Here is a 13,965-nt window from a genome sequence, read left to right as displayed (position 1 = left end):
GCACTCCAGTATGACCAAGAGTGGTTCGCCCTCTGGAGTGTGGAGTCAGGGAGAGGAGAACCACTCCTTCCTTGGATGCCAACTCTGTTGACTGCCGCCAGCAGTGCAGCCCCTGATAGCACCGAACTCGCCCCCGCTCCACTGCTAGTCCTGCCCTCAATAGCGCCCCCCACCTCCGTCCCCCAATGCCGCCAGTAGCATATACCCGACATGCCCTAACCTGTCCTCCTCCATGGGCATTGCAGCCCCAGAAAGCACCCATAACCCACCCTCCCTGCTGTGGGCAGTGCAGCCCTGTGCAGTGCTACCAACCAGTACCCCTAATGCAGGCAATGACACCCTGGATAGTGCCCCCAACCCACCCCACACTGCGAAAGGTGCAGCCCTGGATAGCCCCTGTCCTACCACTCTGGTCATGCTGCAGTCTCTGTCACTGCCACCACCAACTACAGTGAGGCAAGCCAGTGGGCCGCAGGCTCTAGCTCCCAGCAGCCAGGCATGGAGCAGCTCTCGCTGATGGCCGGCTCCTACCACACTGACCATGCTGCTGTCTGTCTCCGTGGCAATCTTCTTTCACTACAAAGAAATAAAACTAGGTATCAATAAGAAAAGTAATTTTGGAAACAATACAATCACATGGAAGTTAAACACTACCCTCCTGAATAAATGACCTGAATAAATAAAGGTCAATGAAGATACTAAGACAGAAATTCAAAAATTTCATGAAACAAAGGGTAATGAAAACACAGTATACCAAAACTTGTTACGCAGAAAGCAGTACAAAGGCAGAGATTTACAGCTATAAGTGCCTACCATCCAAACAAAAGAAAAACTTCAAATAAACAATACATCTTAAAGAACTAGTAAAGTAAGAACAAACTAAACCGAAAATAAGAAAATAAATAAGATCGTAGCAGAAACAAAATTGAAATAAAAAACACACAAGATTAAACGAAAAGTTGGTTTTCTGGAAAGCTAAACAAAATTGACAAACTTTTAACCAGCCTAAGAAAAGAGACAAGATTCAAATAAATAAAATCAACAGATTAAAAAAAGGAGACATTACAACTAATACTTCAGAAATTCAAAGGATCATAACTGGCTATTATATGCCAATAAATTGGAAAGCCTAGTAGAAATTGGCAAATTCCTAGATGCATACAACCTACTTAGGTTAAACAATGAAAACATCCAAGACCAGAACAGATTGGTAACAAGTAATGAGATTGAAGACATCAGAAAAAGTCTCCCAGTAAAGAAAAGCCCAGGAACTGATGATGTCTTCACTGCTGATGGCTTCACACCAAACAATTTAAAGACCTAGTACAAATCCTGCTCAAATTATTTTGAAAAACAGGAGGGAATACTTCCAAACTTATTCTATGAGACCATTATTACTGTGATACGAAAATCAGATAAAAGCATCAAAGAAGAAAACTACAGGACAGGATCTCTAATATTGATGCAAAAATCCTCAACAGAATACCAGTGAATCAAATTCAGTAATACATTAAAAAGATAATTCATCATGATCAACTGGGATGTATCCCTGGAATGCAAGAGTCACTCAACATACAATGTGATACATCATATCAACCAAATAAACGACAAAAACCGTATGATCATGTCAACTGAAACCAAAAAAGCATGTGATGAAATTCAACATCCCTTCATGCTATAAATCCTCAAAGAAACAGGCACAGAAGAAACATACCGCAACATAATAAAAACTACAGGAAAGACACCCACAGCTAGAATCATATGGAATGGGGAAAAATGGAAAGCTTTTCCTCTAAGATCTGGAACATGATAAGGATGCCCCCTGTCACCACTGTTGTTTAACATAGTACCAGAAATCCTAGCTAAAGCAATCAGTGCAGCCCCTGATATGGCCCCCAACCCACCCTGCCCCCTACCACCAGCAGTGTCGCCCCCCGCAAATAGCACACCCAACATACCCTAACCGCCCCGCCTCCCCGCACCATGGGCATTACAGCAGCCCATAGCGCCCTCAACCCAAAACCGCCATCCCCCCCCACAGCCGCACAGTGCAGCCCCAGATAGCACACTTAACCCACCTCACTGTTGCCAGCAATACAGTCTGGGATAGTGCCCCCAACCGGCTCCCCGCCAAAGGCAGTGCAGCCCCGGTTTGAGCCCCCAAACCGCCCCCCGCCCCCGGTGCAGGCAGCACAGCCCCAGATAGCACACCCAACCAACCACCCAAGACGGGCAGTGACGCCTGAGATAGGGCTCCCAAACCGTCCCAGGCCACCAGCAGTGCAGCCTGGATGGCGCACTTACCCCAATGCCTTTCTACACTCTGGCTGGCTGCAGTGTCCATCGCTGCCACCAACCACAAACATGGCTGCAAACAGGAAGGATTTTATTCACCGTCGATGCGGCCCCGAGTTGTCCCAAAGCGAGGCAGTGCCCCAAGGTCTATGCAGAGCAGAACGCAGCTCCGCCCTCGCAATGCTCTCCGGGTCTGTGCCGAGGAGAACGCAGCTCCGCCCTTGCAAAGGCACACAGCGCCGGTGCCGGCGTGGCGGAGAAGCGGACAGCGGCGGAGAGGCGGTCGGCGGCGGCGCGGCGGAGAGGCGGGCGGCGGCGGCGCGGCGGAGAGGCGGGCGGCGGCGGCGCGGCGGAGAGGCGGGCGGCGGCGGCGGCGCGGCGGAGAGGCGGGCGGCGGCGGCGCGGCGGAGAGGCGGGCGGCGGCGGCGCGGCGGAGAGGCGGGCGGCGGCGGCGAGGCGGGCGGCGGCGGCGAGGCGGGCGGCGGCGGCGCGGCGGAGAGGCGGACAGCGGCGGAGAGGCGGACAGCGGCGGAGAGGCGGACAGCGGCGGAGAGGCGCACAGCGGCGGAGAGGCGCACAGGGGCGGAGAGGCGCACAGCGGCGGCGAGGCGCACAGCGGCGGCGCAGGCGCGGAGAGGCGCAGGCCCAGGCTCCACTCCCCAGCTGTGAAAGGGTAAGAGCTGAGGGTGGCTGAGACTCGGGGTTGTTCAGGGCGGGGTGGGCTCTGGACCCAGCAGGCCCGGCACCCAGGTCAGGGCTCCAGGGGAGGCCAGGTGGGCGAAGGCCAAGAAGGGGCCGGGGCTGGTCAGGAAGGGCTCCTGGTGACCAGAGCACTTTGCGTGAGCCAGCGTGGGAGGAAGGTGGGCTGGATGAGCCAGGGAGGTGCCGGGAGGGTCCTTGGCAGAGGCGACCACCTCCATCAGCCCCCAGGCCACTGAACCCTGGGTAGCGAGAACCGACAGGGGAGGCTGCAGACAGAGGAGTGGAGGCTCCCCGGCTTTGGGGGCTCTGAGTAGAAGCATCTAGGGGGTCCCTCAAGAGGCCCCCAAACGCTTCCCCATGGTGAGAAAAGAAGGCGCAGAGAGGGGCACGGCGCCGGCGCCAGGGCAGAGGGGCGCACAGCAAGATTTGCTGTGATTTCTTTTATTGCCCCAAGTGTACTTCATCTTGGTAGATTTCTATTGGCTTTAAAAATGTGTGTGTTTTGCTGTTGGGGAGTGGGGTGTTATACGGATGTCACATTTTGCTGGTTGACTGTTCAGATCTTTTGTCAATCCTTGCTCCTTTTCTGCCTAGTTTCACTCTGTCACTTACACTGGAGTGCGGTGGCACGAACATGACTCACTGCAGCCTTGACTTCCTAGGTCAAGTACTTCCCCTGGCTTAACCTCCTGAGTAGCTGGTACTATAGGTGTGTGCCGGCACACCTGGCTAAATTTAAAATTTTTTGGAGAGATGAGGCCTTGCTATGTTGCCCAGGCTCGAACTCCTGGCCTCAAGCTATCCTTTGTCTTTGCCTCCCAGAGTTCTGGGATTACAGGCATGAGCCGCTGTGCCCGGCCTCTGCCTAGTTTTAATAGTTGCTAAGAGGAGGATGTTGAAGTAGATGTCTTCTTGGTGGGTTAATCCTTTTGTCACTAAGCAGTTGTTATGGTCACTTCCTTTTCACCCCATTGGTGAAGAAGGGGTCCCTGCCCTAAAGTGTAGGAGATGGCTGAACACGACACCTGGCGTGGATGGATGAGATTGACAGCAGTGTTTTAGTCACATATACCCACAGCTCAGAGGAGGACACTGCATGCCACACAGGGTCAGATGGGCACCGCACTCTGTAGCGGAGTGAGGGCTGCGGGCTGAGGAAGCAGGCAGGCTTGGTAGTAACAAGAGCACACAATGACCAATGGTTCCCGAGGGGGAGAGCAATTGGCTTGTTTGAATAAATTCATGGGCTGGCAGACAGGTGAAGTGAAACTTCTTAGGCTGAGGTGCAACTGTTCTGGCTGATAAAAGAACTAGCCAGGTGGGGAGCCTTTCCTGTTGGGCGGCGGGGTAGGGGGTGTCTGGTAGAAACAGGAAAACCCACGGCTAGGCCTTTGGGGCCCTGTGAGGCTCAAAGATGTCAAGGCAGCATAGGAAATTTTAGATCTTAAAATTCAGTGAAGATCCTCTCCAGCTCTGGTAAATTATTTTGCTTGAAGTCTACTTCATGAGATATTAATATATTCACTCCTGCTTCCTTAAAAAATTAATGATTTCACAGGATATCTTTCTCCATTCTTTTACTTTCAACCTACTTAGGTCCTTAAGTGAGTTTGAAGTTTCTTATGAACAGTATTTAGTTGGACCATGTGTTTATTATAGGCTCTCCATCAATCTGTCTTTTGGTTTATTTAGACCATTTACATTTAAGGTGCTTATTGTTACATAATTGCTTATGTCTGATGTTTTTATTATTTGCTTTTTTGTTTCCGTTTTCTTTCCCTCCATCTTGATCTATTTCTGTATAATGTTGTTGCGTGTATCTCTTTGTATAGTCTTAAAGTGTTTGCTCTGGATGTTACAATATGTGTATTGTAATATAGTAGTCTACTGGCACCAGTATTTACCACTTCAAAGTGTGGAAACCTGCCTTGCATTTATGTCTCTTTACCTTTTCCACTTGTATAAATCACTGGCTTGAGTAGTACGTGGTGGTATAGTTTTTGTTTCAGTGGTCAAATGTGATTTTAAGAACTGTGGATTGTCTCGTGTATGTATCCACATTTCTGGTCTTTCCTTTGTCCCCCCTCCCATAGTCCCATATTCATCCCTGCTGCATAAGAACTTTCTGTAGCCATTTTTTTATTTTGATTTGTTTGTTTTAATTTTTTGTATTGTGGAAATGACAGAACATATTTCTGTAGCCACTTTTTAGCATTTCTAAATTGACCAGTGACAAATTCCTATATTTTCTTCCTCTGAGAATGTCTTTATTTCTCTCTTCATTTCTGAAGGGTAGTTTCATGGGATATAGAATTTGCAGCCAACGGTTTTTTCGTTTGGTTGTTTTTTTTTTAAGCACTTGAAAATGTTGTGCCACTTCCTTCTGGCCTCCATGGCATTTGAGTTGGCATGTCCCTACAGGCATTCTGCCATTTTTGCTCTTTGTTTTTAGTTTTGAAAGTTTAATCAGTGTTGCTTTCTTTTGGGATACTTTGAGGTTTGCTCAGCTTCTTGAATCTGTAAGTTTATATCTTTCACCAAATGTGGGAAGCCTCAGGAATTAGTTATTTGCATGCTTTCGCAGCTCTGGTCTCCTGTGGGACTCAGATAACATAAATGCGGGGTCTTTTGTTATCGTCCCACAGGTCCGTGCAGCTCTGTTCATTTGTTTTCAGGTTATTTTCTCTCTGTTGTTTAGACTGGGTGAATTCTGTTGATCAGGTTTCAGCTTCTCTGATTCTCTCCTCTGTCGTCTCCACTTTTACTCAATAGAGCCTATCCAGTTAGATTTTTTTTATATTTCTGTTACTGTATTTTATATTTGTGTAATTTCCATTTGATTCTTCTTCAGTTTCTTTGCTGACGTTTTCAGTTCTTTGATTGTTGCCATAGGATTTGTAGTTGCTTGTTGAAGCATTTTTATACTGACTGTTATAAGTGATGAGTCAGGTGGTTCCAACATCTGCCTATGTAATTTTTTTTTATTTTTGCAGGCAGTCCTCCTGTTTAGGTTTAGTCTGTAGGTCTTGGTCTACTTTGTGGGCTGTGATTCCAATGGCAATTTAATTTCAGAGGCTTCATGGTGTTATTTTGGTCTGTTTGGCTAATATGTATCACTGGGATTCTCCCACCAGTCCCTGCTGTTGCCCACCTGAGGGAACAGGGGAGCTGCCCCAGGCTGGGCCACCTGCTGCAGCTAGGTGGGTGGGGAATGGTGGTTGTCTTGGTGTGTGGAGCTGGTTTTCTTGTTGTGGGGAAGATCTCCTTTGATCTGCGGGGACTGAGTCTGCCTGGGTTGCCTTCTATTGCTACGTTGGGAGTTGGGAAACTCTGGGCTTGGGTCACCTTCCTATTGGATGAGGTCCAGGGAGACACCTGGACACTATGCATTCCCTAGTCCTAGAGTCCCTCAGCAGCCTTTTTCTGTCCACCTTTCGGGATTCTCCATTGATCATCTCCTGTCTATTATTTCTAGAGTTTGGGTTACATTTCTTAGGAGGGTATAATGTGTTATCTTCTTTAGACCAGAAATCCTTAGTGGTGGTTTCGGGTTGTAACTGTGCTAAAGGGAGAATTGGCGTATTTGTGATGTCGAGTCTTCCTTTTCAAATGAGGACATACCATTATTCAGTATATAATATTTACAACACCTACTTCCTTGGGTTGAAGAATGTGGTTAAGGCAAGGAAAGTACTTAACACAGTGCCTGGTGTGGAGAGCACTTACGAGTGTCGGTAGTGATGCTATTCCTTTTGTCCTTTGGTAGCATATTAAAGCTTTTCTTCTTTTTTAAATAAATAAAGTTCTGGTGCACTTCTTGTTAGGTTTATTCCTATTTTATCCTTTTTTGCTTTTATTACAAATAGGAGCTTCCTATCTTTTAAAACATCTACCTGGTTCTTTGGCCCTTATGTGAAAATGTTTTAATAGCCTTCTAAACATTGCTCTCCCAAATGAGTTTTAACTTGCCTCTTTCTTTTGTTTTCCTTTTTTTGAGACAGGGTCTCACTTTGTCACCCAGGCTGGAGTTCAGTGACACAATTATGGCTCACTGCAACCTCTGCCTCCCGGGCCCCCAAAGTGCTGGGTTTACAGGTGTGAGCCACTGCACCCAGCCTTACTTGTCTATTTCTTTTAAGAGTGGGAACTATAATTGAACCCAGAGCTCCAAAAACAAATGAAGGAATGAATGAGTGAATAAGCTCTTCCCATGGGTTTGGTGTGGTTTGGGGCTCTACTCTTAATCTAAATGCTATGTTTTATATGATCTAAAATTTCCCCTAGGTGTGTTACATGATTGTGTTGTGCTGAACTTACATTGAGAGTCCTTTTCACGTGTGCTGGTTATCAGCATGGGACTTTTCCATTCACTCTTTGAATTATTCATTTGGGGGACACAGATAGACCTCTGTGTCTTTCATAAAAAGTGTCCATTGGCCGGTTGCAGTGTCTCATGCCTGTAATCCCAGCACTTTGGGAGGCTGAGGAGGGCAGATCACGAGGTCAGGAGTTCGACACCAGCCTGGCCAATATGGTGAAATCCCATCTCTACTAAAAATACAAAAATTAGCCAGGCCTGGTGGTGGGTGCCTATAATCCCAGCTACTCGGGAGACTGAGGCAGTAGAATTGCTTGAACCTGGGAGGCAGAGGTTGCAGTGAGCTGAGATCGTGCCACTGCACTCCAGCTTGAGTGACAGAGTGAGACTCCGTCTCAAAAATAAAAAAAAACAAAAACAAAAGAGTGTCCATTATCTATACTGGAAAAATTGAGATTGGGATTTTTGACATGAAGTGCGGAAATGTGGATTGGGTCCATTTAGTTTACCTAAACAGATGATGAAATACTAACTGTTTTACGAAGCATTCCCTAGTGCAAAGTTTTGCCTGTGTGTCTAGTGACGGGAACAGTAAGAATGAGGCTTGGAACGCGGAGTGCATTGTGGGCCTGTCGTGGGTGGGGCCAGCAGCACATGCATGCCTGGCTCACAGAGCAGCCTTTGGGTGTTCTTTTCCTGGAGGAGCTCTACGGTGATTTTGAAGACTTGGAAACGGGACGTGCACAAGGGAAAATCGGGCCCCGACACTCAGGTATGACTTTGTCGTAGCTGGCTGTTCTTGGTCATTGTGTTCTGAGAGGCCCACATTGAGAAATGCAAATCTTACTTGTGATGTGTGAAGATTGCAGACTGGATGGATAGATTCCTTCCTAAAGGGTGGGGATGTGGGGACCAAAGAGAAGCTTTCTTGTTTACTTATTAAGTTTTGGACGACAGTTACTACCGTTTCTTGCCATAGTCATTTGCCAAGACCACTGTGATTTTTCACTCACAGAAGTCTTAGCTTCTCAGACTTACATTCAACCATTGCCATCATTCTCCTCTTTTTAAATTTAAGTGTCATTTAAAAGAATGAAGTCCCTGTTCTCCCTAATATTTCTTTAGAACAGGGTCTGGGAGCATCTGGGTGAGGGAGATGTCTGTTATTTTTATTCTAGTTTGTGTTCCCAGCCAGCTTAAGGAATAGCAGCTAATTGTAATGCAGATGTAACAATTTCCTGTAGCAGTACCATGTTATTCAGAGACAAAGGTTATGTTGTGTTTTGTTTTGTTTTATTGATAATGATAACAGATTTTTGCTAAGATTTTTGTTTAAATAGAACTTTAAAAAATGTAATGTTTAAAGAAAAGACCTTCATAAACATACACAAAATTTTTTCTTCTGGAAATTTAAGAATGAAGATATAGAGAAACAAGGAAGAAATTGACCCTGACGAAGAAGAAAGTGCCAAGAAAAAGCATTTGGATAAGAAGAGAAAATTGAAGGAGATGTTTGATGCAGAATATGATGAAGGAGAAAGCACATATTTTGATGATCTTAAAGGAGAAATGCAGAAAGAAGCACAGGTGAGAAACCTCAGTTCCTCTCAGCCCCTTGTCAAGACTATCACATAGTGCAGGAATCCCTGACTTTCTTTGGGTCCCTGCTTCCTATCCTGCTTCTGTGCCTTTCATTTGGACTCCTGGGTAGATGCATGTGAGTGTATTTATTCATGCAGTGAGCTCATTGTTTCTACAGTCAGAAGATCACCAGAAAAAGATCCATACCTGTTTTGTAACAAGAATTAGGAAACCGAAGTGACTGAGACATGGTCTCTACTTTTGAGACTTTTACAATGTAGTGATCTGAGACAGTGTGTTTATTTCAGTGCAAGCCAATGCTGCCTATTCCGATCGCTGCTCCCTGATTTGAATGGCAGGTGATCAGTGGCCCGTGTGGCTTATGGACACAGCAGAGCTCCCAGGGGAAGTGCTCTGAAAACTCATCCTGGTCAGAGTTCAGAAGGACATGTGGAGTATAAGGTCAGATGCGGAGATAAAGGGAGATGGTGTGGCCCTCCTGCCTGGGGGTGCTGAGCAGGTTGCTGGAGGCGGTGATCTCACTCTGAAGGAGACAGACACAGAAACGTGTGTACAGTTGATGGTGAGCATCTGAGTTGCGTCTTGTTAGTGAGACCAGGAGTGCCTGTGTAAGCTGGAACAGATTAGGTATATGATTTGTGAAACGGAGTTTCATCCTAGATCTTCATCTAGTCAAAGGACTGTTTCCTGATTAGGCATTAGCTTAGTGGTTGCTAGTCTGTGTTGACCTTTGAAAGGCATGACTAGGCTAACTCTGAAGTTTCTGCTTCACACCATTTACAATTTAAAATTACCTAGAGCCTTGTGGGCCATTGGAAGAGACTGAATGTTTCACTCTGAAATGGGAGTCCTTGGAGGGTTTTGAGCAGAGGAGAGACATTCAGGTAATCAGATCACTCTGCCAAGACATCAGTCCGGTAGAGATCAGTCCGGTGGCACAAACCAGAGGGCTGGCAGTGGAGATGAGACAAAGAGTCAAACCCGGATAGAGTTTATTTGGAAGCTGGGTCAGTAGGATTTCCTGGTGGACTGAATGTGGGGTGTGTGAGGAAATGAGGATGGCGACTGGAAGTTCCTGGAAGGATGGGTTGTTGCAGGTTAGATAGGAAACTGTCTGCAGATGCAGTTTTGGGAAGATGATGTTTGTTTCGGCTGGGTATCATGCAGACAAGCGGAGTGTCAAGTCTGGAGAGACAGGTCTGGCCAGGGACTTAGATGTACAGCCCTCAGCATGTAGATGCCACTTAACTCTGTGAGGTGGCCGGGGAGTGAGTGCAGAGTGACTGGGAGGAGCAAGACTGGCATGGGCGAGATGGGGCGATTGCGGCCGTGAGGCCTGAGCAGTGCCTAGGAGGGAGAGGGAGAAGCAGTGTGAGCCTGCAGGCACGCAGGAGTCCAGTTGTACACGGAGGCGAAACACTGTTCAGATCCCGCTGCAGTGTTAACTATGGTAAAGGCAGAGTTGATCACCGGAGGAGTCCTTCAGCGTGGAGGCCTTCAGCGATCTTGGCAAGCACCAATTTTCATGGATGTAGGAGAATGGGAGCAGAGGAACTGGAGGCTGCAACTGTGGAAAACTTTTGTGGGGTTTTGCTGCAGAGAGAAGCAGAGAAATGAAGCAGTTTTTGGTGGAAGAAGTGGAATCAAAAGGTTTTGAGATGAGAGAGAGAACAGAGGGAAGAGCTGTTGGAATAAAGTCCAGGAAGAGTGGATGGTGTCTAGTGAGCAAGTGATGTGTGGCCCTGAGTAGAGGCATGGACAAATCATCTGTGCCTGAGCTGCCCGTAGAACTTTCTGTGATCATGGAGATGCACATCTGTGCTTCCCAATATTGTAACACTGGCCACAGGTTGATACGGACCACTTCCAGTGTGACTAGTGTGATCGAGGAACTGCATTTTAAATATTATGTAATTGTAATTAATTTTAATTTAAATAGCCACACATAGCTCCTCTATGGGGCAGGTCAGAGCTCTGATAAGGCTGGATATGGGAGGAAACCCTGGTATAGGGTTGACCGTAGAGGTTCTTTTGGTTTTGGAGTGAATCAGGAAACAGCCATCAGCTGAGTGAAGGTGAGGGTGGTGGTGGGTGTTTGAAGACAAGGGAAAAGTGTGAAAGAATTATTTGGAGAGGAAGGAAAGAAAGTGTGGACTGGGGATGTTTCTAATGTTTGAGCACGCAGGGCTCCACAGTTATCTACATTTGCTGTCCCTTGGAGCAGGAGAGAAGAAAATGGTTGGGACATATTCTGAACAGACTGTAGAGGTAAAATGTGTAGGGTTTTTTTTTGTTTTTTTTGTTTTTTGAGATGGAATCTCGCTCTATTGCCCAGGCTGGAGTGCAGTGGCATGATCTTGACTCACTGCAACCTCCGTCTCCCAGGTTCAAGCGATTCTCTCACCTCTGCCTCCTGAGTAGTTGGGACTACAGGCACGCACCACCATGCCCAGCTGATTTTGGTATTTTTAGTAGAGACAGGGTTTCACCATGTTGGCGAGGCTGGTTTCAAACTCCTGACCTCATGTGATCTGCCCGCCTCGGCCTCCCAAAGTGCTGGATTACAGGCATGAGCCACTGTACCCGGCCAAATGTGTAGTATTTTTAATAGGATAAAGCCTACATAATTCTGTCCACAGTTCCTTTACTTAGAAATTGCTCATTTGTTCATGTTAATCCTATGTTTATTACAAATAACAGCATACAGGTTTCCCCCCCCCACCCCATCATGTACAGCTGAATCACGTAGAATTTGAAGATCAAGATGATGAAGCCAGAGTTCAGTATGAGGGTTTTCGACCTGGGATGTATGTCCGCGTTGAGATTGAAAATGTTCCCTGTGAATTTGTGCAGAACTTTGACCCCCATTACCCCATTATCCTGGGTGGCTTGGGCAACAGTGAAGGAAATGTTGGACACGTGCAGGTGGGTCCCTTTGCTGTGTATTTGGTGCCTGAGGCTCTGTGGATTTCCCCTCCATCGATCATCTTACCCTCTCATCCCCCTCAGATGCGTCTGAAGAAACATCGCTGGTATAAGAAAATCCTCAAGTCCCAAGATCCAATCATATTTTCTGTAGGGTGGAGGAGGTTTCAGACCATCCTGCTCTATTATATCGAAGACCACAATGGAAGACAAAGGCTTCTAAAGTATACGCCACAGCACATCCATTGTGGAGCAGCCTTTTGGGGTAAAATATGATTACAATAACTTGCCTATTGCCGAGATTAAACTTTACAGGCTGTGTTATTTTAGCTTTGTGCTTTTCCTTTCATAAAATTCCACTCCTAAGATGTTTCTCTTTTCTGGGAGCGGGGAGGTGGTTTGGAGTATATATGTACATCTATATCCAAATCTAAGTGTCCATATCCAGTATGTTAAACTAGAATCTAAAATTTCTGGTTTGCTATATTTCTTTTTTTCCTTTTCCTTTAAGACCCTATCACTCCACAGGGAACTGGTTTCTTGGCAATACAGTCTGTCAGTGGCATAATGGTAACTATCTTGGACGATTTCTTTTACAGATTGGTTTGAGAAATATATCCTGAATGTGGGTTATTATGTACATGAGACTTTAAGTTGAAAATTACTCATTTTTATTAATATAAAGTAAATTTCCCTTTGCTTTTAATCTTCGTACATCCTTTTCAGTAGGGTGTGGGATTAGAGGAGGGGAGGTGGAAGAATTATAATGGTACATTTCCTATTTTTATGCATCTTTTGCATTTATTTATCCAAGCAAGTATTTAAGCAGTGCTCACCATGTGCTAAGCACTATATGAGGTTATGAGGAGCCGTCAGAGACCACCCAGACACAAGACTCCCTGCAGCTGTGCTGGGGTAGCAGTCTGTTCACTCCATTTTCATTTGACCAGTCAGGCAGGGCAGGGTTTACTGGTCCCATTTAACAGAGAAGAAAGCAGAATAATGAGCAGATGGAATCTTCCCTGGAGGTCCAAATTTTAATTTCCTAAACATTGCAACTGTATTTTTCTTTTCCATTTCGTTCCAAATAAATCATTATAGTAAAATTACATTCCTCTGAAATCACTCTCAGGAAAGTACTCAAGTAGCCTTTTTTTTTCTTTCTTTCTTTTTTTTTTTTTTTTTTTTTGAGACCGAGTCACACTCTGTCTTCCAGGCTGGAGTGCAGTGGCATGATCTTGGCTCGCTGCGACCTCTGCCTCCTGGGTTTAAGCGGTTCTCCTGCCTCGGCCTCCCGAGTAGCTGGGATTACAGGTATGCACCATCATGCCGAGCTAATTTTTGTATTTTTAGTAGAGACGGAATTTCGCCATGTTGGCCAGACTGGTTTCAAACTTCTGACCTCAGGTGATCCACCTGCCTTGGCCTCCCAAAATGCTGGGATTACAGGTATGAGCCACTGTGCCTGGCCTCAAGTCACCCTTGTTAGTTTGGCTTACCAACTTTAAAGTTTTGGATTGCTTTTGTCAAACCAATGGGTTGCAAGTTCAGATGGTCTCTCTTGTTTTTCTTAACTAATTGTAAGTAAAATTCACTTTGGTAATTTATAGAATTGAAGTTTTTCTCTTGCTAATATTATTCCTATTTTCAAATTTTGGGGCTCCTGTTAGCCTGATTTTCGGATAGCTGCCACAGGAGTTGTCCTTGATCTGGATAAATCCATAAAAGTTGTGAAGAAATTAAAGCTAACTGGTTTTCCATATAAAATTTTCAAGAACACTTCATTTATTAAGGTCTGTATATCTATATATTCTCATATTTATAAATGTCCATATTGTTTGAGAAAAGGAATGAAATACCTCTAAAATGTGGGCCTCTTATTTTTAGAAAAGTGTTTGAAATCTTTTATAAACTTCATATTTTGTTTGCTCCTTTATATTCTGTATTACTTAAATGTGCTCAAAAAAGCAGTGGTAAACAGCTATTTAGGAATTGAGGCTGTTACTCCTGACTTCCATGTGAGACTGCCACAGAACTCATATTGAAAATATGTCATTTTATCCACTAGGTTTTGTTTCCTACTTTTTAAATTGGTGTTAAGAAAGGGAAAAAAATCACAAGTT

The 13,965-nt window shown here is 45.6% G+C and overlaps 1 long non-coding RNA gene and 2 pseudogenes across 8 annotated transcripts in view; 1 reads left to right on the top strand and 2 right to left on the bottom strand.

Annotated features, from left to right (window-relative positions):
* The window catches only part of LOC107984006 (uncharacterized), a 52,131-nt gene extending 49,236 nt beyond the window's left edge, over nt 1–2,895 (bottom strand). For 2 of the 5 annotated variants that reach the window (XR_007061501.1, XR_007061502.1), the window contains exons 1-2: nt 2,305–2,582; nt 406–576 (exon numbers count right to left, since the gene is read on the bottom strand). This is a non-coding gene — a long non-coding RNA (uncharacterized LOC107984006). Of the gene's footprint in view, nt 1–405; nt 577–1,714; nt 1,865–2,304 lie in introns of those variants that run through there. The other 3 variants (XR_007061503.1, XR_929656.4, XR_929655.3) reach the window with 2 other exon arrangements.
* Nucleotides 2,874–12,171, top strand: BMS1P14 (BMS1 pseudogene 14; annotated as a pseudogene). 2 transcript variants are annotated; one of them, NR_170873.1, is made up of 4 exons: nt 2,874–2,968; nt 8,018–8,087; nt 8,731–8,902; nt 11,927–12,171. The product of NR_170873.1 is annotated as a BMS1 pseudogene 14, transcript variant 2 (transcript). The 2 variants fall into 2 exon arrangements; NR_170872.1 differs by lacking the exon at nt 2,874–2,968 and adding an exon at nt 11,654–11,842 and having other exon boundaries at nt 8,003–8,087.
* LOC102724580 (methylenetetrahydrofolate dehydrogenase (NADP+ dependent) 1 like pseudogene) overlaps nt 8,592–13,965 on the bottom strand; it is a 78,514-nt pseudogene continuing 73,140 nt past the window's right edge. The window contains exon 4 of the transcript NR_136300.1: nt 8,592–10,510. The product of NR_136300.1 is annotated as a methylenetetrahydrofolate dehydrogenase (NADP+ dependent) 1 like pseudogene (transcript). The remainder of the gene's footprint in view (nt 10,511–13,965) is intronic.

This window comes from Homo sapiens, chromosome 9 (assembly GCF_000001405.40).
Source record: "Homo sapiens chromosome 9, GRCh38.p14 Primary Assembly".
NCBI classification, from domain to species: Eukaryota; Metazoa; Chordata; class Mammalia; order Primates; family Hominidae; genus Homo; species Homo sapiens.
Note: the sequence above shows the minus strand (reverse complement) of the source record. Positions and strands in the feature narration are given on the sequence as shown.